Source organism: Homo sapiens, chromosome 8 (assembly GCF_000001405.40).
Source record: "Homo sapiens chromosome 8, GRCh38.p14 Primary Assembly".
Classification (NCBI taxonomy): Eukaryota; Metazoa; Chordata; class Mammalia; order Primates; family Hominidae; genus Homo; species Homo sapiens.
Genome location: NC_000008.11, coordinates 74,731,886 through 74,755,803, shown reverse-complemented (window position 1 = coordinate 74,755,803; position 23,918 = coordinate 74,731,886). Strand labels below are relative to the sequence as shown.

Sequence of the window (23,918 nt, the reverse complement as noted above, 5' to 3'; positions counted from 1 at the left end):
CACCCACTTCTATCCCTAGTTCCATTATCTTTTATCTCAAGTGGCCGCTTGAAGAGTTCTCAGACAAACATAATCATGTCCATAAGGACCATGTTTTATGAGCACCACATTTTAGCGCATGAACCAAGACAGGGAAACAGATGGATAGAACGCTGGAAGACCGTGCATCTGACAGTTGAAACTCTTAGAAGCGCCAAAAAGAAGCTTAAAGGAAAAGAGCCAGCAGAACATTTTGTAACTTCATTAACTGTTTGATGTTGAGAAAATCTGCAATGTCACTGCATCCATCCTATAAATTCAACTGTAGTTCTACAAATACAGCCTGCTGGCTCATTACCAAAGTATGACTTTCCCAGAACCAATGTTAACTACAATGGCTAATATGGTCAGCAACAAATAAATCTTCTCAACTGAAACCGCGTATTTGTGGTTAACAGTCTAATCTTTTTAGAGGTCTTTTGGCATTGTTTATCTTCAACTCTGCCAATACACACATACCCATCACTTCAAAGACTCTATTCTACTGCTGTTTCAGCAGCAGATGAACTGTAAATATATAAACGTCACTGTAAAGACCAAAATAAAATTGTGTTGAATTTTTTTAAAAAACCCAAATATCAGTTCCATTTTGGAAGACAATCGCAATCTCTAGAACCTGTTCACAGTTATTTTCCCTTAGGAGCTATTATGATTTAGAAGATGTAAAGTTTCGGGTGGGAGTTAGGAACTGTTAGTTCTCATGCTGATTCAGCTGTGGGTCCCCTGGACGACCTAATTCAGACTTCTTCATTTCTCTAGTTGTCTCCAAAAGTGGAATAAGTAATCACAACATGTCGTACTGGGACATTATGAGAATAAAGAACAGCCAACCCTAAGATAGCAATGGTTGTTAAAATTGACAGATCACCCTAATATTTATTTCTTTTGCCTAGTTTGTAGTGAGAGTTGTAAATAATAAAAATTTCAGTGGCCAAAAGGCAGGTACAATGGGACAAAATAAATAACTTCAAATCATCCAGGAAGCATTGGCTCTGAAATGACTGAAAGTGTACCTAACTCAGTAGCTGCTCTTCCTTTCCCCTTGCGTCTAACTTTCAGGGGTGCCCTAAGGGCACCTGACCCACAGTTCTCTTTCTCGCCTTCATCACTAGCTGTAGTCTGGGGCTGAAAACCACTCTAAAGCAAGAGCTTCACAGCCGTAGATCTCTTCAACCACAATTCATTTCTTCTCCACCTAAACTACCATTTTTCTCATTTCCATAGAACCTATTCTCATAATGATCCCTAAATTCTCAAAATTCCACGTTCTACACTCATAGCTCCAAGTCTCATTTTACATGTCACTCTACTTAGGCTGAGCCCCCAAATCAGACATTTCAATTAAACACTAGCTGGCCACCAAATGTGCCTAACACTCTGGATCTTCTGTGCTTTCCACCAGTCCACTTGCCAGGCTGCAAAATTTCACCGAGCATGAAAGTTTTCTAAAGTGGTAATCAATACTATTAAATGCTGCTAAGAGGTCAATGGAGAGGATAATAGAGGAAATAAGTATTACATTTATTTTATTTAACATATACTTATCATGCTTCCTATGTGCTGAGTGCTCTGTTAGTGTTTTACAAGTATTGTTTTATTTAAGCCTCAGAACCACCCTATGAGGTAGGTACTATTATGTTCTTCATTTTACAGACGAGGAAATGCAGCGCATAGAAACTTGCTCGAGATACTGCAAAAAGTGAGACAGGTAAAGCAAAGGCTGATTCAGAGCTCATGTCCTAACTACTAATCTATGATGCTTCTCCCTTTGATATCAGCCCATTATTGGTAACATTATTTTTCCAGAAAAAGAAGAATTCAACAGCACATAAGTGAGTCAGATTGTCAGAGCACAATAGGTAGGATACTAACAATTCTCATGTTAATAAATTTATTGGTGAATGGAAGGCAACACATTAAGAGAAGAGCATAGTTTTTAGGCAGCATGATATGTCAATAGACAAGAGGTGAAAATTGCAAGGAGATTATGAATAATTATTGGAGCAAGGATTAGAAAAAGTGAAGGGGCATGGGAGATGATTGAATGAAGGTCCTGGAGAGAGGCCATGGAACATTTCCTAATCAGCACCTGCAATAATGGCTTTCAGGTAGTCCTGGGGGTAAGAAGAATGCAAAAAATAGCTTGGGTACAGTGGGAAATATAGAGAGATGTAAATTCAGTGAGAGGCAAATAAAAGTATCTCAAAGACAGAAGAAAAGTCTGGCCACGATGCGAAGGAATGTAACAGAACACAGTCAGTTTAGTGTCATCTCACAGCTCTTTCTAGAAACATTTCTCAGTCTTAGTATGGAATTGGAGAATCACTATGATTTTCCACTTCTAAAATATTGATGCAATTTATTTTGTAATAAATGTAAATCAAATGAAGGTCACTGTTACGCATCCTATGCTATAGTAAAAATAAAAATCTAATTTAACATATTAGCAACAAAGACTATATAATGTATACATTTGCCTGTGTGGCAGCCCACATCTACACTCAAAGGCAAAGTTGTTTGGATTGGTGTAACGAAGACTTAATGTAGCTTTGACTTTTACTTAGAAATCCATTTATCTGGGACCCATGCACCAAATGCTCATTAGAATTACTTTGACTTTATGTTGTTTTGAGTTTAGATTAGCTAGTAGAGCTAACCTAGTAAACTCGTATTTCTGAACGTCTTTCAGCAACTTACGTGTTTTAAAAAATACCTACCTTCTGATTAGATTCATAGCTGGAAACACATTTCCCCCATTTAACTTGCTTTGCAGTGCAACATGGCAACTCTTTCAGTCTGCAGAGCTAAATAGTCACTTGCATAAAGTTGCCGTTTTAAGGAATCATGCAGGTGAATCTGAGATGCTCTCAGGGACAGTCTTTAAAGCCAGATAAAATTGAACCAGTTTTAACTGAAAGTTTTTTCAGCTGCTACATATTATGAAATTTGTGTTCTATTAAACTTCAGTTCTGGTCCATAGCCAAGGGAAAAATTAATCATTGACTCATTTTTTACACTGTTTTTAGTAAATGCCAAGGAGAGACTGTTACTACCAGGCTTATTTACTAGCAATCTAGCATTTTTCTAGGCATCTGCAATCAAGACTCACATCTTTAAAAATTCAACAAAGATACAATCAAATGCTTCTTGAATGGCTAAGGCAGTTTAACCACAGTACATAAATATTGAAAAGAGCTGAAAAGTCAGAGAGAAAATATCTTTCCTACTTACTTTCAGATGAACTCTTCAGGAACTCTGGGTAGCCTCTCCAAAGTTAATGAGTTTGGAGAATGTGTTGATCTGGTGGCTGGACTGAACGCGGGCCTAGTGCATGAAATTCACAGACACAAAATGAAAAATGCTCCCAAATGTGATCAAATGCTAAGGATTATCAAATTCTTTTAATTGAGACCTATGCCTTTGAAATTAGTAATTGAAAATTAATCTCTTAAAATCCTATACTTTTTTTTTTTTTTTTTTTTTGAGACAGGATCTCACTCTGTCACCCAGGCTGGAATAAAGTGGAGGGATGATGGCTCACTGTAGCCTCGACCTCCCAGGCTGAGGAAATCCTCCCATCTCAGCCCCTCACCTAGCTGGGTCTATAGGCAGAGGCCACCATGCCCAGCTAATTTTTAAATTTTTTGCAGAAATGGGGGTTTCACTATGTTGCCCAGGCTAGTCTCAAACTCCTGGCCTCAAGTGATCCTCTTGTCTCAGCCTCCCAAAGTGCTGGGATTACAGATGTATGACTATGCCTAGACTGTTTTTAATAGCAGTTTTTGAAAAGTCTGCTGACAATGTATTTGGATTGCATGAGCCTTAAAAAGATTAAACAAAGGTATTAATTACAGAACATTTAATCATTAAACCTCTCCATATACCAACCATCTTCTTGATATCCCTACAGTCATCTGTTTATACAGTATTTCTATGTTAACCTAGTAGTGATTACACATTTCTCAATTATGGGCCTGTGTATTTCACTAAATTTAATTTGTCATCATAATTAGGAATGTTTACACACAAGCAAGTTCTTACAGTTCATTTTACCATGACATAAGATGTCTTTTTGCTTGTGTTTGTGAATAATATGGGGTAAAAACTGTGGTACTATCAATTCTTGTTATTCACAGTAGTTTTGTTCTATAAAGATGCTGCCAACACCAAAGTAGCAAATACTGAACCACTGTTTCTGCAGGAAAGACAGAGTTAGATCCCTATAAGCCTCTGGTCACAACATTTTCATCAACCAATTAATACGTAAACTTGTCTTATGTGTGTTTCTTTTAGAGACACTTTATTTAACATGCTGTTGAATCTAACTTTGAAAGTCAAACAACACTGTAAGTCATGCCTGAAAACAACTTATCTAACACACATATTTTCTTTTAAGGCTTTCCATAGCCTTCTCATGTTAAGAAACACTAGGCAGCATAGCAACGCTATACTTGGAGGCCATTGAAAACAGTAAAATCAGCAAGAAATAGCACAAAAATGAGAAAATGTTGCACTAAATTCACCATGAAAAGGACGTTTGTTTATAGTATGAGCTGAAAGAAGACTGTTACCACGTTCAAGCCCAGCTAGGACATATGCATCAGGCAAATGAAACTTTTTTGCCACTCTGCACATGACCGCAAACGACCGTAAGTGCCACCAGCATTGATTTTGTGTTTACAAATACATTTTAATGAGTGGGCAAATTTGCAAATACAGAATCCATGAATAATGAGAATGTGCTGTATTTTTAAAAGCTGTTTAGGTTATCTAGCATTCTTAATAAAAATTTAATAACGTTGTGAACAGTGTATAATTTGGAACAGAAAAATTATCTGTCCTTCATCCCCTCTATAGAGATAGTAAATATAGTGCTAGATAAATTTTTGCTCTTTCATGAAATCTTTGATACTAAGACCAGTATATCTATATTCACATGATGGCATGTAGAAGCCTCATTAATAACAAATGTATTATCGACTCTCCTAGTTACCCTTATCTACTTAACCTGCTAAAACTACACTTATTAAATGTTTCTAAAGAAATATGAAGTTATAAGGCAAGAGTTATGATGGTCCTGTTTTCATTGAAACTGTGGAAAGTAACTTTTCTTACAGTAAATTTGACATTAGTTGTCCTTTCAAGAGAAAGACTAGGATCAATTAGTTCAGAGCCTTCAAAACACAACACAACTCCTTGTCAAAATGACCTCTTATTTGTTTAATATTTGACATTATAAGCTGACACATTTGTCTTTAATATTATATTTGCAAGCCTTGTTCCTATGATATTTTAGCAGAGTATCATATACACAGGTAAGATTAGTTTATGATTGTAAAATCTATGATTACTACACATCTCAGATGTTGAATTTTTCAGCGAGAAAAAAATTAGATTTTTCACTTTGACTTTCACTTTCCTCTTTCAATTGCACCTACATAACTGAACCACTCTCTTCTTCAGTGAATATAATTTGCTAGTAAAATATTCTAACCATGGTCTTGATTTTTCACTTAGATGTTTAATATCTTACAAAGGCATATGTGACTAAACCACTCAGTATAAAATATTACTGCTAGATATCGCTTCAAAATGATCAGACAGTAATTTGTGATATTGCTTTGAAATGATATTATTTCACCCAAAATGAAACAATTACTTTTCATTTCAATATAGTCACCATTGACAAGCTTGTTTCAGCAAAGTAAAATGTCAGGCTGACCCTCCACTGGACTTTGAGACTCTCAGAGAAAAGAAATGTAACTGGCTTCCATTTTAATTAGAAGGTCTACGCAAGAGAGCAAGGATATGCACTGGAAAGAGTTTTGAATGGACTCTTAGTTCAAAAATGTCTCAAAATGTATGTCAAAGTGCTACTCCAAATGTAGCCTACAATACTTTTTTTTTTTTTTTTTTGAGATGGAGTCTCACTCTGTCTTCCAGGCTGGAGTGCAGTGGCACGATCTCGGCTCACTGCAACCTCCACCTCCCAGGTTCAAGTGATTCTCCTGCCTCCGCCTCCTGAGTAGCTGGGATTACAGGCACCCGACACCATACCCAGCTAATTTTTGTATTTTTAGTGGAGGCAGGGTTTCACCATGTTGGTCAGGCTGGTCTCGTGCTCCTGACCTCAAGATCCACCCACCTCAGCCTCCCAAAGTGCTGGGATTACAGACGTGAGCCACTGTGCCTGGCTTACGAAGCTTATTTAATGTCACATTCACTTTATGATGTCGAACTTGAAATTATGTTGAGACGTTTTCACTAGTTTAGCAGTCATTTATTTTGAAAATTACTTAACAGCTGGCTTTCATCACAATTTTGCTTCAACTAAAAAGGCACTACAAGTTTTGTTTTTTTTTTTAACTTGGTGATAGGAAGTGGCATCATCCATTCCCCTCTGAGATATTCCAGAGTAGTGATAGATTTCTTATGTCCATATTGTAGCTTACAGAGCTTTCAGCCATAAAAGAGAATCTAAATGAATTACAGCATCAACAATCATGGTTTTGTCATTTGGGATTTTTTATAATTAGAAAGATATGTTTGCTGATAGGATGCTGACAGTATGTTGCAATTTTAAATCATTTTGTTCAATGTTTATTCTGTTACCACCTTTCAATATATTATGTAGATTTGACAAATCTCACCTTTCCTTTCTCTTTTGCAGATACATTGATTATTATAAAAATTCTATAATCATTATAGCTATCAAAAAAAGCAAATACATTGAAATGGCATCCAAGAGGCATGCAAAGTTTTAAAAATTATCTTCCCAGGTTTCACAATTAACAGAAAAGCAGACCCACCAGCTTTGTAACTTTGTAAAACTCAACAAGCCTGATTCTCTCTCTCCATGTCAATATGATGAGAGCATAATTACACTCCCCACAGAGAAACATCAATATCTGGCCTTTGGAAAGTCATGGAAGTGGTAGAAAGCAAACATCTGTTCACACATATCTCATTGCAGAATCTCCACAGCAGTTCTTCACAGCAAGAATTTTTTCCTTTATCCCTGAAATTGGGAGTAGCCAAACAATAGAGACAGGAAAAAGCCTGGGAAACCCTCTCTGGGCAGTCTGCAGGTTACTGATTTTCTGTGCAAGAAGGTATGTTGTCACTTGTTCATAAGCTCCATGAGACAAAATTCAAGCTGGACTGGAATGCAGCACCTTGTTATATGGTTCTTAGAATCCAAAAAGCCATACTTAACATAAAAATAACAGCAGAAAAATATCTTATACAAAACCATGAATTATAATATTTGTCTGTAAGGCAACCTGAGAGATCCTTGGACACGTATATTGCATTTTTCTTCTTTCATTGTCTCCACTAGTGGTGTTCAACAAGAGAGATTGAAAATGCTTATAGGACTAGTGAAAGTTCCTGTCTTTCATTGTATTCAACCTATTTAAGGACAGAGCTGGTACTCCTGGACTTTTACTAGACCAAGAACACTATTTTCTGAACTTACTCCTTCACTGTGTTTGATGTAGTTGGAATCTGTTTTACCTCAAAGATTATTTAACAGGTCCATCAAGTCATAGGCAAAGTGCCAGCTTCTGACTGAGTTTCTGCCTTTGAATTTTGGCTTGTATTCCAATCCTTCAGCGTTAGAGACATGGGAGAAAGTACCTCTGAACACTAACTTTCTTTAAAAAAACAAAGGCCATAAAATTCATAACAGAAACCATTGCCTCCTATTTACTTATTTGGTTAAGAATCACAGAAGTGGGCTTTGACAATGAGAACAAAATTAAGGAATCAAACAGCAAAAAAAGACCATGAGAATGAAAAATTTGAAATGTATGCATATACTTTGGATCATCTCAAGTGGTAACTATATAAGAACACATTTCATGAGGAAAATTTTCTAGGGGGAATGAATTTGTAGGACTTGACTACTTCCCAAGGCACTGTGATGATACATTATAGATTGAAAAGGACATAGAACTAAATGGAATTCATTTGTCTCAGTTTAGATAAGTTTTTCTTTCTCCTAATACATTGTCTTCCAAATTAGAAGTAAAATGTAATCAAAATCTACCTTCTTGGTGAAACATACTTTAGGTAGATGTTACACAGGTTCTTAACCAAGAATGTCACTCTTGTGACTGTTCTTTTCTTCTGATACTACCTGATCATTGGTCAGGTAAGTAAAGAGAAATGATAGGCCAAAATATGTTACTCAGAGAATAACACGATTCACAAATGTGCTTGCAGCTTTTTAGGTTTTTTGGTATGTAAGGAGTTATTACATATTTTTAGCAAATGTATTCTAATATGTAAGAGTTACTGTTCTGAGTCTCTCATTGTTTTGTCTTGATTTATTTAAGCACATATAGTTCCAATTTCTCAAAGTTGTTGGTAAGAAAGAAATTTAGAGGATCTTATAGAATTATGCTTAGGGATAATTTTAGTAAATGCTTATAAAATGGGTACCATGTGCCAACATTGTCCTAAGCAGCTTAATCTTCATAACAGCTTATGAAACAGTTACGTTGCTTTCCCAGGTCAACAAATGAGAAGCCTAAGACATAGTTCAAGTAACTTCCCAAATGTCACATACTCATTAGTGATGGAACCAGGATTTGTACACAAACACACTGAGAAATTTTGTTTTCACCAATATAGGACCAGAATCTTAATTATCTAGATGTTCACATCTAGAGTATATGTATAGAAATATCCAAAACTAGATTAAGTGACTCTTAATGGAGTTAGCATGGATCAGTGTCCTCAAATCAATTTATTCTTTGGTAGCTTTTTTCCTATGATTACAGCAAATTCATATAAGGGGGCTTGGGTGGTAAAACAGAAATTTTAAAGAGCATGGTAACTCTACTTAATAATTCTCTTTTTGCTAGTCTCTTTTTTTCTTCAGTTTAGCTTTCAACTAATATCAGAGTTGGCTACTTCAGATATTTCTTGATCATACTGTTACCTTTTTCAATCCTGCCAGTGCTCTCCATTTCAAACATAATACAATTTAACTATTTAGCTTGGGTGATGGTGTCTTCACAGCCTTGATCCTAAATTAAGCTCCTCCATCTTCTCTCTCTTCTCTCCACTCTATCCTCTACCCCTTTTTCTGCTTAGCAAATTCTACCTCATGCAAGGCCAAATGTAAATATTCTCTCTTCCTCCCTCCTCGACTCTTTGACACACACACACACACACACACACACACACACTTCTTCTCCTCTTACAATTACTTTTACAACTTTCAGCCTGCATTCCCATGGCACTTTAATTCTCCCTTTCTTATAACATATTGCTTTTGCTTGGAGTTATTTACTTATTTGTGTCTGTCCCCTTCACTGAGGGTGTGCTCAATGACGTCTAGGGCTGGACTATTTATCATTCTATACCTACCGCCAAGTACTTCATATATGAGATGTTTAATCAATGTAGTTGCATTAAGTCGAACTGAAATGAATTTAATTGAACTAAACATATATTATTCCAGGCACATGAGAGAATTAGAGACTATGCACATCTCTGATGCTTGAACAATTTCTACCAGAAGCTAATTTCAACTGTTTCATTTTTTTGCATCTTGCACAGTGCCTAGCAATGTTTGACATAAAGGTCGTGTCTAATACATTGCGAGTGATTGAGAGAATCTATCTCATTGACCTCAAGTCTGTGGAAGAGTCAAGAATCAAACCACTTTCTTAATTACAACATCCTCAAGACATCATCACATGGTGTTCACATGGATTTGGAGCCAGTCTCTTCCCCCTCTAACTACCTGTGTGACCTTGAGCAAGTAAAGCCAGTGCCTCACTTTTCTCATCTGTAGGATGAGAATAATATTAGTGTTGACTTCATAGAATTGCTGGGAGAACTAACTGAGTTGATATGTGTGGTGCTTAAAAGCCTGCTTGGCACATGGTCATCCTGGCAAAAGGCTGAACTAAGATTATTACTCAGTGTGAATTCTATTTTTATCTATACTTACTCTGTACCCACGGATGTTTGCTGCAAGGCTCTTTTCAAGAAATTGATGACGGTTTCCCATATGAGGAAATGCCAGAATAGCTGTAGCCATCCACATAGTGCTTTTCCTTCATAAGATTCAACAAAGTGTCAGGTATATATTCCCTAATCCCCTCAATGTCCCTGGACCATGCGTTTTATTTTCTTTGTTTTATGTAGTTTTGCATGCCTATTTACAGTGAAAAAAAAACCCACAGTGATGTTTACATAAAGACTATCATCTCCAATAATATGCCTGCCATGGAGATTCTGCTACTATCGATTCATCAGGCCTCATACACAAAGATATTCTGTTTCTCCAAATCAAATGCTATGTGATAATGATTTAAATATATGAGAAACAATGACAAATGGTAGAAGTTTAATGGAGCCATATTTAATAAATCAATGCTTATTTACCATTTATTATGAAAATATGTTCTAGAGTGGTAATATTTCATTTTTATCATTATTACTGTTTCCTTGTAATCAGATCTTTTCTGCATTGCTTTGTTTTTGAGATGAGGTCTAGCTCTGCCACCCAGACTGGAGTGCAGTGGAACAATCATAGCTCACTGCAGCCTCGACTTTCTGGGCTCAAGGGATCCTCCCACCTCAGCCTATAGCTGAAACTACAGGCTCCTGACCACACCTGGCTATTTTTCATTTTTTCACATTTTTTTTTGTAGAGACAGGACTCTTCCTATGTTACCCAGACTGGTCTTGAACTCCTGGCCTTAAGCAATTCTCAGACTCTCACAGTGCTGAGATTACAGGAATGATCCACCACACCCGGACCTTGTAATGAGGTCGTAAACTATTGAACTTTTCCTGAAGAAAAGTAGTTTCCACATCTTGTATTTTCAAAACATTTCTATTAGACACAGATAGTAGTTACCCACAGTTCTCCTTCTCACTTCACTTTTGCTTGTTAGAACTTTTTTGAATTTTCTTTCATTTCCTGGCCCCATTGTTTTATTTTCCTGATGAAGTAAGATTTTACTGCGGCATTATTCACAATAGCAAAGACTTGGAACCAACCCAAATGTCCAACAATGATAGACTGGATTAAGAAAATGTGGCACATATACACCATGGAATACTATGCAGCCAGAAAAAATGATGAGTTCATGTCCTTTGTAGGGACATGGATGAAATTGGAAATCATCATTCTCAGTAAACTATCGCAAGGACAAAAAACCAAACACCGCATATTCTCACTCATAGGTGGGAATTGAACAATGAGATCACATGGACACAGGAAGGGGAACATCACACTCTGGGGACTGTTGTGGGGTAGGGGGAGGGGGGACGGATAGCATTGGGAGATATACCTAATGCTAGATGACGAGTTAGTGGGTGCAGCACACCAGCATGGCACATGTATACGTATGTAACTAACCTGCACATTGTGCACATGTACCCTAAAACTTAAAGTATAATAATAAATAAATAAATAAATAAAAATAGTGAGACCCCATCTCTAAAAATTGAAAAAATAAATGTTTAAAAAATAAAAAAATAAAAATAAAAAAATTTAAAAAAAGATTTTCATTATAGTTTTTGGATAGACACTGGTGACATAAAATCAAACCCGAAGATTCATCACATACCCAAACAAATCTGACTTCCTCAACTTTCTCTCTTAGCTTCTGCATAAAAATCAGCTTTGGATTTATTTCTTATTTGCAAGCACTCAATGCAAACAGTCATTGTAGATTAACACAACAATGCACTTGAGATGTTTGTATTAATTACAGCTTTTACTTTTATAATTTATTTGAAACATAATTATCTTATAATAGTTTTCAGATTGTTCTAGTATTTTAAGTTTCGTGGCATTAATTCATCTGGTACTGTGTCTGCTGACTCTTGCTCATGGTGATTTTCTTGTGAGGTTTGCAATCTATTAGTGTGGGCTCATGATCACCTTGGTTTATAAAATCCTGTTGGAGTCCAAAATGGTCTGAGTTATGAAATAATGGTTTGGGGCTTGGTTTTGCTGGGGAATTTCAGTGATGTGGGACTGGGTTGTAAGGTTGATTTTTCAGATCATGTTACCTATCCCACCCAGGTGGTATAAATGTAGAGCCTACATCAGCAAGTGATTCAGATCTACAGCTTTAATTTCTCAGAATGTTTGGTTATTCCAACACAGTCCCAGATAAATCGTAAGTTTGTTTACATTTTCTTGGCTTAATTGTTTGGGATTGTCTTCCAAGCTATGAGGTCTGGAAATCCTTAGAGATTTTGTGTTTTATGAAAGACTCTCAGATTACACTTCCCTTCTTTATAGGTGTTTGTAACCATTTCTCCAGTAACTAGGTCATATGTCCTTTCTGAAACCCATGTGAAATGCCTTGGTATTAGTTTTCCATGACCTCTCATTTTGATTCCCTTCTTACTACTTCTTATAACACTTGGGGATTCAGTAGTCTAATAATTTTATTCTCATATAAACAAACATGCTATAACCTCACTAACATTAAACAGCTTATCTACTTCTTTATGTTTATTTTCTTATAACACCTGGGGATTTTCCTGTCTTTTAATTTTATCTATGCTTTAAAATCAATCATTATATTTAATCTAATATTTTAAGGTGGTTTTTAGTCTGTTCACATTTGCTTATTCTACCGTGTGTCCAAAAGCCTCCTTGCTGTTTTTTTGTTTTTTGTTTTTTGGTGTTTTTTTGTTGGTTTTTTTTGTTTGTTTTTTTGACATTCTATAGGCTTTCCTACTAACTGCTAGTTATAGTTAGTGGGAAACTTCCTCCCTCTCCATCTGAGCCTTGTCCAGCCTTTTGTACCATGTCTCATTTTTTTTCCACAACCAAATTTTATACCATGACATCCAAGGGATTCCCAGAATAAGACATAGGCTTCATTGTAGCTCAAACTCTGAGTCAAATCCTTTTACAGATCTCTTCTCCCTTGGTTAAATGTCATGAGTTCAACCATCTTCAGTCAATAATAACCCCATATCCCAACAAGATGTCTATAAAATTGAAAGAACCACAGCAAAGACACCTAGAGAACTAATAACTTGGTAGAGTTTGGGGAGGAAGGAGAATGGGTGGCAATTCCAGGGAAGCATGCAATGATGTCAACATTTCCACAGTAGATTAAAGGACATGGAACAACTTTCCCATCAGAAAAGGAGTTCCCAGCAATGACTACTAATGAGTGAGATGCAAAAATGCTTACTCTTTTTTTTAATGTGGTTGGTGCCTCACTCAGAGATACATTTGTCACCTAATTATAGGCATCATTTATCCAAAGATCAACAAAGATGAAGCAACAACTAACCAGATATAATTCTTCATAGATTCTATTTTTAAATATGAACAAAAAAGTAGATAACCTGTTTAATTTTAGCCAGATTATAACATGTTTGTTTATATAAGAATGGCATTATTTGACTACTCATAGGTAAGCTATTGTGAAGAGCATCACATCTGTATTCTTATCATCAATCTACGTGGAACATTAAAGCCTCTGGTAGAAAAAGTATAAGTGCATTCTTGACAAAGGAATAGTTACCACGTAAGATGACCTTGTAGAACTCCCCCTTAAACCAATCTTTTGTGATCTTGTATTTAGTTCATAGTTCAGAGCCCTGGGAATTAGTACTGCAACTGGGGGGACAGGAGGTGGCTAAAAGAGGCAGGGTTTCTAAATTACGTACAGTGATCCTCACCCCTTGGAGCTTCTGTATTTGTGAATTCACTTACTTAAAAAATCTATTTGTAATCCCAAAATGGATACTCACAGCACTCTCATAGTCATTCACAGGTATACACAGAGTAGCAAAAAGTTTGAGTTGCCTGTTAAGCACATTCCTGGCTGAGGCTGAACAAGGCAATGCTCTGCCTTATTGTTTCAGCCCATACTGTGAACAAATGTCCTTTTTGTGGTGCATTTCATGCCACATTGTTTACATTTTTGTGCTTTATCTTGGTGATTTTACTGTTTAAAATGGCGCCCACGCTTAGTGCTGCAGTGCTTAGTGTTCCTAAGTGCAAGAGGCTGTGACGTGCCTTACACAGAGATTATGTATGTTACCTAAAATTCATTTAGGCTTGAGTCCTACTGCTGTTGGCCGTGAGTTCAGTATTAATGAACAAACAATACGGTAGATCCAGAAAAAGGAAGCAGAAATTTGCCAATTTTTATGTAAGGCTGCCTTGGAAAATGCTAAGTTAGCATCTATAGTACTTATAAAGGTATAAAATCAGTGTGAAGGGGCTAAATTTGTGGATTCATGAGATGACAACAAACAACAACAACAAAGTGAAGTAGACAGAGTTATTTTGAAGCTGAAAGCCAAAGAAATTTACAGTCACATTTCCCAGGGTTAGAAAAGGTCAAACCTTTTTTAGCTAGTGCTAACTGCTCTGCATTTTCAATAGGTGATAAGGCATGAAAAATGCTAAACATGCAGGCAAGGCAAGTTCTGTACAGGAAAATTTTTAAAGTACCTGCTAAGTGTTATACAGGAAAGGAGTTATGTGGAAGAGCACATTTTCAACACTGATGAAACTGAGTTGGCTTGCTTTACAAGTATGTTGGCAAACATACCTGTATAATACAAATAGCCTCCAAAGCTCTTGGCTTTAAATCATTCAAAGACCATGAAATTAATTATTTGTAAGATGTATATACTAACAAAGTTGCCTTTAAACAGAAACACACATGAAACAAGATTATGTGTTGATAGATTGATAAAATATAACCAAAGGTTTGCAGGAGCCTAACTCAGTATTTCCACTAGGAGCAATGATTTAGTATTTGCTAATTCAGCATTTACAGCAATTTTATAGAATACAACTACTGGGAATATTGAGAACGTTCTGTAATGCAGATATTTAATCTGGAACTATCATAACCCAGGGGTAGAGAGAAGAGTTTTTGTAATAATAAATGGAAATAACGTATTTGAGTGTTACAATCAAACCTCAACACTTAACTACCAGGTAGCTGGAGACCACGCTATCTACTTGTTCAAAGCAATAAGACGATTTTTCTAAGAGGAATTGGTCATGTATTCAACTTGGCATCTGGTATCTGGCACTCCACTGTGTCTCATTCCAACAATATCATGTACTTAATAAGCTATTTAGATTATTTAATAACTGTATTTTATTTAGGTTTCTATCCTAGTGGCTGTGGAATTTTATTTTACTTATATTCTTTATGTCTGTTTTTCATAATGAACTATAAGCTACTCAAGGGCAGGATCCATATATTACCTATTTTAGTACCCATGATGCCTAACATATCATATTGTACATAGCAAATGTTAAACAATTTTTTTTTAGATGAAGTCTCACTCTGTTGCCCAGGCTGGAGTGAAGTGGCGCCATCTCAGCTCACTGCAACCTCCACCTCCTGGGTTCAAGCAATTCTCCTGCCTCAGCCTCCCAAGTAGCTGGGATTATAGGAGCATGCCACCACACCTGGCTAATTTTTGTATTTTTAGTAGAGACAGGGTTTTGCCATGTTGGCCAGGCTGGTCTCGAACTCCTGACCTCAGATGATCCACCTGCCTCGGCCTCTCAAAGTACTGGGATTACAGGTGTGACCCACTGCGCCTAGCCCAAACAATTTTTTGTTGAATGAAATTAATGAAAAAGAATAAAAATATAATCCATAATCTCAGGAAATAATAATAATTTTTTAAGTCATGGTCAAAGCTCACATTAAATTTCCTTGTAATTTCCCAGAAATGTAATTCAGAATGATACTACTATGTGCATTTGTTAAATTATTTTAGTTATATAAATAATACATGGATGCATAATTGTGGTGGAAAATCTAGACGTTAGAATAGTGTATAAACATTAGAAATAGTGTATAGCCATCTGCCAACCTGCTGATCTCATACTATTCCCCTCCCTGAACATTTTTAGATAAATAGATGGTAAATATAACCAGAGCTAGGAGAATAGTACAAACAAAACATGCACACACAGAGTTTTTTTGGATTTTTAAAAAAATATTTATGATGTGATCCAAATACTGATTTAGGAAGTATCAACTATCTGAAAATATAGTTTTATTTTGAACCACATCCCACAAGATAACCCACATATGTATTCCTTCTATGCTGTCCACTCTGATGGCAATCTTTCCAAACTAAAATGTGTTTGATATTAATTTTTTTTCAATCAGTGAAGACATTACTACAACTATATTTACATGACCTTTGCATTCTCCATTTCCTATGAAAGTTCTGGGGAATTCATGAACCTGCCATCTCAGTGCACTCTAAAGTATTTGTTCCAAAGCAAATGTAATTTTATAAGTTCAAGAAATCTCCAAGTTGAAATAAAAGGTAGATACTTATCACAACTCGGAAGCTGTCAATAGAGTGCATCCAGAGGTTAAAGAGGCTTACAAAAACCCTGGGGAACGTTCATATGGTAAGAATTCCACATCACTGGCAAGCTGAAAGGAGCAGCTTATAGTTGATTTCACAACTTGGATGGATACAAAGCAGTAAAAAGATCATCTGAATTACAGAACTGATGCCAACAAAAGGAAGTCACCATTTTATTAAACACAAGAACCACACAGAAACAAGGAAACATCTCATGATGACTTTACATCTGCTCAAGAAGTCAAGCACAACATCGATTGCTTATTAGTAACAGCAAAATAAATACACACTACTCTAATTTCCATAAAGACATGTTTAAGAGCAACTGTTTGCCATTTTAATTTATTGATCCCCTCCCTTTAATGAACTTTAAAAACTTTATAACCTCAACACTTTTCTATTGCATTCATTATTATAAAGAAAAACAAAGAAACTTTAAACTAGGCCACTTGGCCTTTTACATTGTTTCTTCCTAGCTCAAAACATTTTCATCTCCTAATGGCCAACATCCTCTTAGATCAGAGGCAGACTGAATGCGTGTAAGCCTCAAGATGATTTTCTGTGTGGTTTTAGCTTTCTTCCAGAAATTTAATGATTATATGCCCACTGTAGGAAGCTACTTTCAATCAATGATCCCTCTTTCTCATGAGTCTAAAGTGGAGTTATCTTGAAAATTGGTAGGTTTGAGAAATATTCACCATTTTTGTGGCATTAATCTCTGTATACAAAGAAAAAAACTGTTAATGTGATTTTTTAACAAAGCCCATTGAGCACCAACTCTGTTATGAGAACATAGTAGATAAATAATATAAGCCCAAAGTAGGGAAGACAGTTCCTTCTACCAAAATGGCTTCTGATATAGAGCTGTAACTATACTGGGTGGCACTTAGTAAAATAAGTAATTTAGAGAATAAGAGCCACCAGGTATTTGGAAGACAGATCATGAAGAAATTACAATTTCAGGAATCCTTGTATAAAAAGGAAGAATTACATTTTGCCTTGAAAGAATATTAGAAATAAAACTTATGGAGATAAGTTGGGTGAAAGGCATTGGAAGCCTTGTGAGCCAGCATTTGGGGAAACAAGGGTATCATGCACACTGAGATTGATGAACAGTATTCTTGCCAGAGAGGAGTTGGTGGAAAGAAGAGAAATGGAAATACGGTACATGTAGGAAGAAGGTTGATTGAGGGCCTTGAATGTCAAGTGCCAGAAAACTATAAAAGATAGATGAGATAGATAGGTAGATGGATAGATAGATAGATACATACATACATACATACATACATACATAACAGATACATACATACATACATAGATCATACATACATACATAAATGATAGATACATACATACATGCATACATAACAGATATATACATACATAGATAACACATACATACATACATACATACATACATAGATAATAGATAAAAGATTCACTTGGTCATTTATTCACTATACCCAACAAAATATTTTCAAATGTTTAGCAGGTTGGCTTTGTGTAGGTAAAGCTGTCTCACTAGAATTGAATAAAATAGGAGAAAACTAAACAGGAAGGGCCAAAACAACAAGTAGAAAAACTATGTATGTAAGAAAAAACAAACAAAAACAAAAGTCTGAAGATTTCATTGTTTATGGCAGTGAACAAACAAATATTGATTCAGACTTAAGAATGTGAGCACAAAATCTGAGCAGTCAGGTTGTGGGCTCATGAATCCAGGCCAAGGGAACGAAGGATTAGACTCTCTACAAGAATTTGAGCCCTGAATGATCAGGACATTAGGCCAAAAAGTGTGACAAGATATCAGAATTGAGGTATGAAGCATGAGTGGTGAATAGTAAATAGCAGGAGGTGTTGTCACTGGTAGAGGGTCGTGACTGCAAGCTGTCCAGGTTCTTGGCGTTTTGAACTAAGAATTGGACAAAACGCCCAACAAAGCAAGTAAAGAATGAAGCAACAAAAGATCGAAAGCAGGGATTTATTGAAAATGGAAGTATACTCCACAGTGTGGGAACAGGCCCAAGCAGCAGCTCAAGGGCAGGATACAGAATCTTCCTGGGCCAAAATACCTCCCATAAGTTTCCCATTGGCCACTTCACGCTCACTTTATGTAAATGAAGTTGTAGCCCACAATCAGTCTGATTGGTTGTAGAAAGCAGCCAACCAGAGGCTGAAGTGAGGTTACAGAGGTCGCACTCCTGTGCAAACATCTGATTGGTTGCAAAAAGCAACCAATCAGAGGCTAGGGTGAAGTTACAAAGTTATACTTCTATGCAAATGAAGATTCCACCCGCAATTAGTCCGATTTGTTGCGGACTGCCAATTTCTCAACTGCGCGCAGAAAAGGTGGGGGATTTGCAAAGGGAGTAGCCTCTGGTCCTTTTGTTACTTAGGCGTGGAAAGTCAGGGTTTTCCTTTCAATTTAGTTCTAGGAAGTCAGCGTGAAACAGCCTTAGGTTCCCTCTCTGCAGACCCTATTCTCCTGCCTCAGTGTAAGTGCCCTTATGAGCAAAACTCCTACAGTAGCTCAGAAATGGTCCCGGAGGGCCCTATGCAGCCTCTGACAGTGGTCAGGCCTGAGCCTCCACTTATAGGAAATGAGGAACCCCTGGATGGGAGAACAGATTTAGCAAACAGAGAGCAAAGTGGTTTCCAACCCCAAACGTCCAGACATCTGATGGAATTCTTTGCTATGAATCCAGATAGTCTGATGTCATGCAGACACACTCACACTTAGAACAAATGTCAGCTATGGGACTCTTGGGCAATTGTCCTCTTGACAAAAATATTTCCCAGCCCCATTCTGAGACTCAAGTACACATTTCACAATTCCCACGGCCTTCCCTGAGAAATGTACTCCCTTTACTCAGAGCTAAAGTTTCCCCATGTAATAGATCTACAAAGACTTCTAATTTGCTTAGCAAATTGCTACAAGGCTTTGCACAAATTTTTTCCCTACCCCATATTTACTGCCAAGAAAATATTTTTAGAAATGTTGTAGATAAATTTTGTATGGCTCTTTCAAAATGACCAGGTAAAATATCACATTACAATAGTATTTTCAAAAATTATGTACCCACCACATAAAGATTCATAGATATTTTCAGAAAGAAAGAAAATGTCTTCAGTTAGTAGAGGAGTGTGTACTACTAAGTCTATTTTAAGTAAATGTGAGAGTGCAATGGAAAAAGAAAGAGACCAAAGGAGTATTTTGGGAGTCAAGGGACTCAGGGACTGTGTCTCTAAAACTGGAAATGTTTCACAGATCAAGAAACTTTAATCTGCTTGTGGGTTTATGAACCTAGATATACATTTTAAGTTCCCTCTAACACACATTTTTCATAACTTCTGTCTCAGGGCACAGAAGTAGAGGATACTTTCAATTACTTAAAATTATAGCAAAGATATCATTAAATTTTTATGCTAGCATTTGCTTACTACTTATTTTAAACAGGAAGTTAACTTTGTATCTAAAGAGCAAGACTATTGCCTATTGTGTCAAATTTCTGTGTTGCACTAAGAGAGATGTTATAAACCTCATTCTAAACACAAGCGATGTGCTAAACTACCAATGTCCTTTTTTGATTTCACAAGCACAATTTAGAGACAACATCAGTCATTTGAGTCCTGGCCAAATAATTTTAAGTTCCCAGAATTTGAAAGGATCACCCGGAACTTTTAGTAAAATAAGTCAACAAAGTTATGTGTAAGGCCAGCACAACAAATAGGCTCACTTTATTGTGAATCTCATGAAGCAAAGGAAATATATTCTTTCTGTCAAACTTCACCATTGGGTTCAGGCAGCCTCACATTGTTGTTGCACAAGCACAACTGAGCAGCAGGGTATGAGAGAATATGGTGCCAACAGAAAGAGTGTGTGATACATGGAGCCCGGGGAGCACATGTCCTTCTAGTATCTGCAGAACTTTGGCCAAATCGCCTGCACTCACTGCACTGCTGTCTCCTCATTTGGAAATGAGATATGAGGACTGTATACTTTCTAAGATCCCCTTCAGTTTTAAAACCCTATTAGACCATAAAACCTGCAAGTAAGCGACCAAACTTCAAGGGGCAGGCTCCATCTTGTCAACAAGACTTACTCAGAACTGAGAACAGCCTCTTACAATGGCCAGCTGAAAGGAGGACAGGAGAGAAGGAAGAACAGAAACATTTATCAAGTACCTTCTAAGTCTGTGGCCAAGAACTGGCTACACATTTATTATAAACATTACATTGTGTTTCATCCTCACAACAACCTGTGTTTGTTCTCTTTTGATTGTGATCTTATACCTACTTCAAGTTGGGTAAACTGGGCAGAGGGAGGCCAATAAATGACCTGAGACTACAGAGTAAAAAGCAAAATGTGATTTGAATAATGATACAAATGGCTTTATGGTCCTCTTTACTGTCCAGGCCACTGACAGATATGTTCAGCATTGTACATATGTAGCTCCAGGGTATTTCATTTGAGGGATAAACACATAAACACATCCACTGGAAAGAATAAACTACAGTGAGCTGAGAAAATCGATGTGATTTTCAGCTGTATGCTAAACTTTTGCTCTCTGTTGGATCCCCTCTGAAACCACAGTAAATCAGTCATCTGGCATCCTTTGAAGGTCTTGCATGGGTCAGCAGGGGCTCCTGTTTCTGGCACACAACAACGAGGGCTGCTCTGCAGTGGCCTCAGAGCTGCTGTTGTAGCTCTGGGTGTCACCGTGCCAGCACGGGTTCCCTTTATCTCTTTTGCAACTTTATATGTTCCCAAATCATACTGTGTTTCATAAGCTTTGACCTACAGTTGGGAAGAAAGAGGAGGAGGTGGAGATAATGACCTACAGGGCTTTGTTTTGAAATGCTCCCTGCAATTTGTCCTGAGCCAGATCTGATCTTGGATATCAGAAGATTCCAAATCTGATCTTGGATATCTCAGAAATCATTACCATTTAGTGGATATTACAGCCTCCTCACAGTGTGTTTTATACATTTTTGGTGGGATTACAAACTCATTTGAGAATTATAGAAATACTACAAAATGCCCATATGTGTATAGTGTCAAAACTGTGCATATGTTAGATCAGTTTTAGCAGACTGATACCTTAACAGACCTAAGATATTGCCAAAACAATCCTAGAAGTTGCTTTTGTTGCTGTTTACAAAGGTCACATTTAAGCCTAGAATTTTCTCCTTAACATAAAATCTAACCCCAAGCCACTGACCATTATCTCTCAGCCAGGACTCAAGCAACTAAATGTCTCCTTGTAAATTTGTTTGAGTTCATTGTAGATTCTGGATATTAGCCCTTTGTCAGATGAGTAGGTTGCAAAAATTTTCTCCCATTTTGTAGGTTGTCTGTTCACTCTGATGGTAGTTTCTTTTGCTGCGCAGAAGCTCTTTAGTTTAATTAGATCCCATTTGTCAGTTTTGGCTTTTGTTGCCATTGCTTTTGGTGTTTTAGACATGAAGTCCTTGCCATCAAAAAGTGGGCGAAGGACATGAACAGACACTTCTCAAAAGAAGACATTTATGCAGCCAAAAAACACATGAAAAAATGCTCACCATCACTGGCCATCAGAGAAATGCAAATCAAAACCACAATGAGATACCATCTCACACCAGTTAGAATGGCAATCATTAAAAAGTCAGGAAACAACAGGTGCTGGAGAGGATGTGGAGAAATAGGAACACTTTTACACTGTTGGTGGGACTGTAAACTAGTTCAACCATTGTGGAAGTCAGTGTGGCGATTCCTCAGGGATCTAGAACTAGAAATACCATTTGACCCAGCCATCCCATTACTGGGTATATACCCAAAGGACTATAAATCATGCTGCTATAAAGACACATGCACACGTATGTTTATTGCAGCACTATTCACAATAGCAAAGACTTGGAACCAACCCAAATGTCCAACAATGATAGACTGGATTAAGAAAATGTGGCACATATACACCATGGAATACTATGCAGCCATAAAAAATGATGAATTTATGTCCTTTGTAGGGACATGGATGAAATTGGAAATCATCATTCTCAGTAAACTGTCACAAGAACAAAAAACCAAACACTGCATATACTCACTCATAGGTGGGAATTGAATAATGAGAACACATGGACACAGGAAGGGGAACATCACACTCTGGGGCCTGTTGTGGGGTGGGGAGAGCGGGGAGGGATAGCTTTAGGAGAGATACCTAATGCTAGATGACGAGTCAGTGGGTGCAGCGCACCAGCATGGCACATGTATACATATGTAACTAACCTGCACATTGTGCACATGTACCCTAAATCTTAAAGTATAATAATAAAATAAATAAATAAATAAATAAATAAATAAATAAATAAATGTCTCCTAATTGGTCTCTGATTAGGTTCTATTCTCCACAACAGCAACCAGAGTAGAATTTGTAAAACCTAAACCAGATAACATCCATCTTATGTGCACAGCTCTCTAAGGGCTTCCCAACATATTTAGAATAAAATCCAGACTCCCTACCCAAGCCTACAAGTCAGCCTTCACCCACCTCCTCAACCCCATTTCTGCCTCTTCTGCCCATTCATCAGTGGTTTTCTTAGGTATCCTTGAATGGGCTGTTTATTCCCTTCTTTAGATCTTTGTGACTGATGTCCCCTCTACCTATTCCCTCCTCCCTTGATAGTCACATGGCACAGTCCTTTACCTTATTCAGGTCTCTACATAAACTTCATCTACTCAGAGAGAGTTCTATATTGAAAATAACAGCATTCTTCCAAGCTACCTTTCACTGGCTATCATCTTTTCCCAGCTTTATTTTTACTGAGCATTATATTACTTATTGTGTATATGTTAATAATATATACCCCTACAATAAAAGGTAAGCTCTGTAAGGATAGGAATGTGTCTGTCTTGTTAATAAGTAATCCCCAGCACCCTAGTTTTTTACCCCACTTATTAAATAAATGAATGGATATAAAAGGCATTTTTAACATATGTTCAGCATAATATCTACCATGACCAACCCTAGATAAATATAGTTGTACCTTGGTATCCATGGGGATTGGTTCCAGGACCCCCCATAAAGAGCAAAATCCATGGATGTTCAAATTCTTTCTATAAAATGGTGTAGTATTTGCTTATAACCTACACACATCCTCTTGTATACTTTGAATCATCTCTAGATTACTTATAATACATAATACTATGTAGATGTCACGCAAATAGCTGTTATACTGTATTTTTTAATTTTTGCTATGTTTTGCTGTAGTGTTTTTCTTTATTAGGTTTTAATTTTCAATGTTTTCCATTCATGGTTGGTTGAAGCTACAGATGCAGAACTCATGGGCCTACTGTATTAGTCTCCTTGGCATTCCTTTCCCTCTTTAAACCATGTAATTCAGCTTTAAAAAAATTGTAACTACTTATTGCCAGCTAAAATGAACTCAGAATCAGTTACACTGAAAACATAAGTTTCCAAGTAATATGAGTGTTTGCAAAAAGAAAACTAATTTATGGGGTTCTACTTCTATAATTA

The 23,918-nt window shown here is 36.8% G+C and overlaps 1 long non-coding RNA gene across 2 annotated transcripts in view; it reads right to left on the bottom strand.

Moving 5' to 3' along the window:
- MIR2052HG (MIR2052 host gene) overlaps positions 1-23,918 on the bottom strand; it is a 158,596-nt gene that overhangs the window by 2,549 nt on the left and 132,129 nt on the right. For both annotated transcript variants that reach the window (NR_197229.1, NR_033830.1), the window contains exon 5: positions 3,271-3,363. This is a non-coding gene — a long non-coding RNA (MIR2052 host gene). The remainder of the gene's footprint in view (positions 1-3,270; positions 3,364-23,918) is intronic.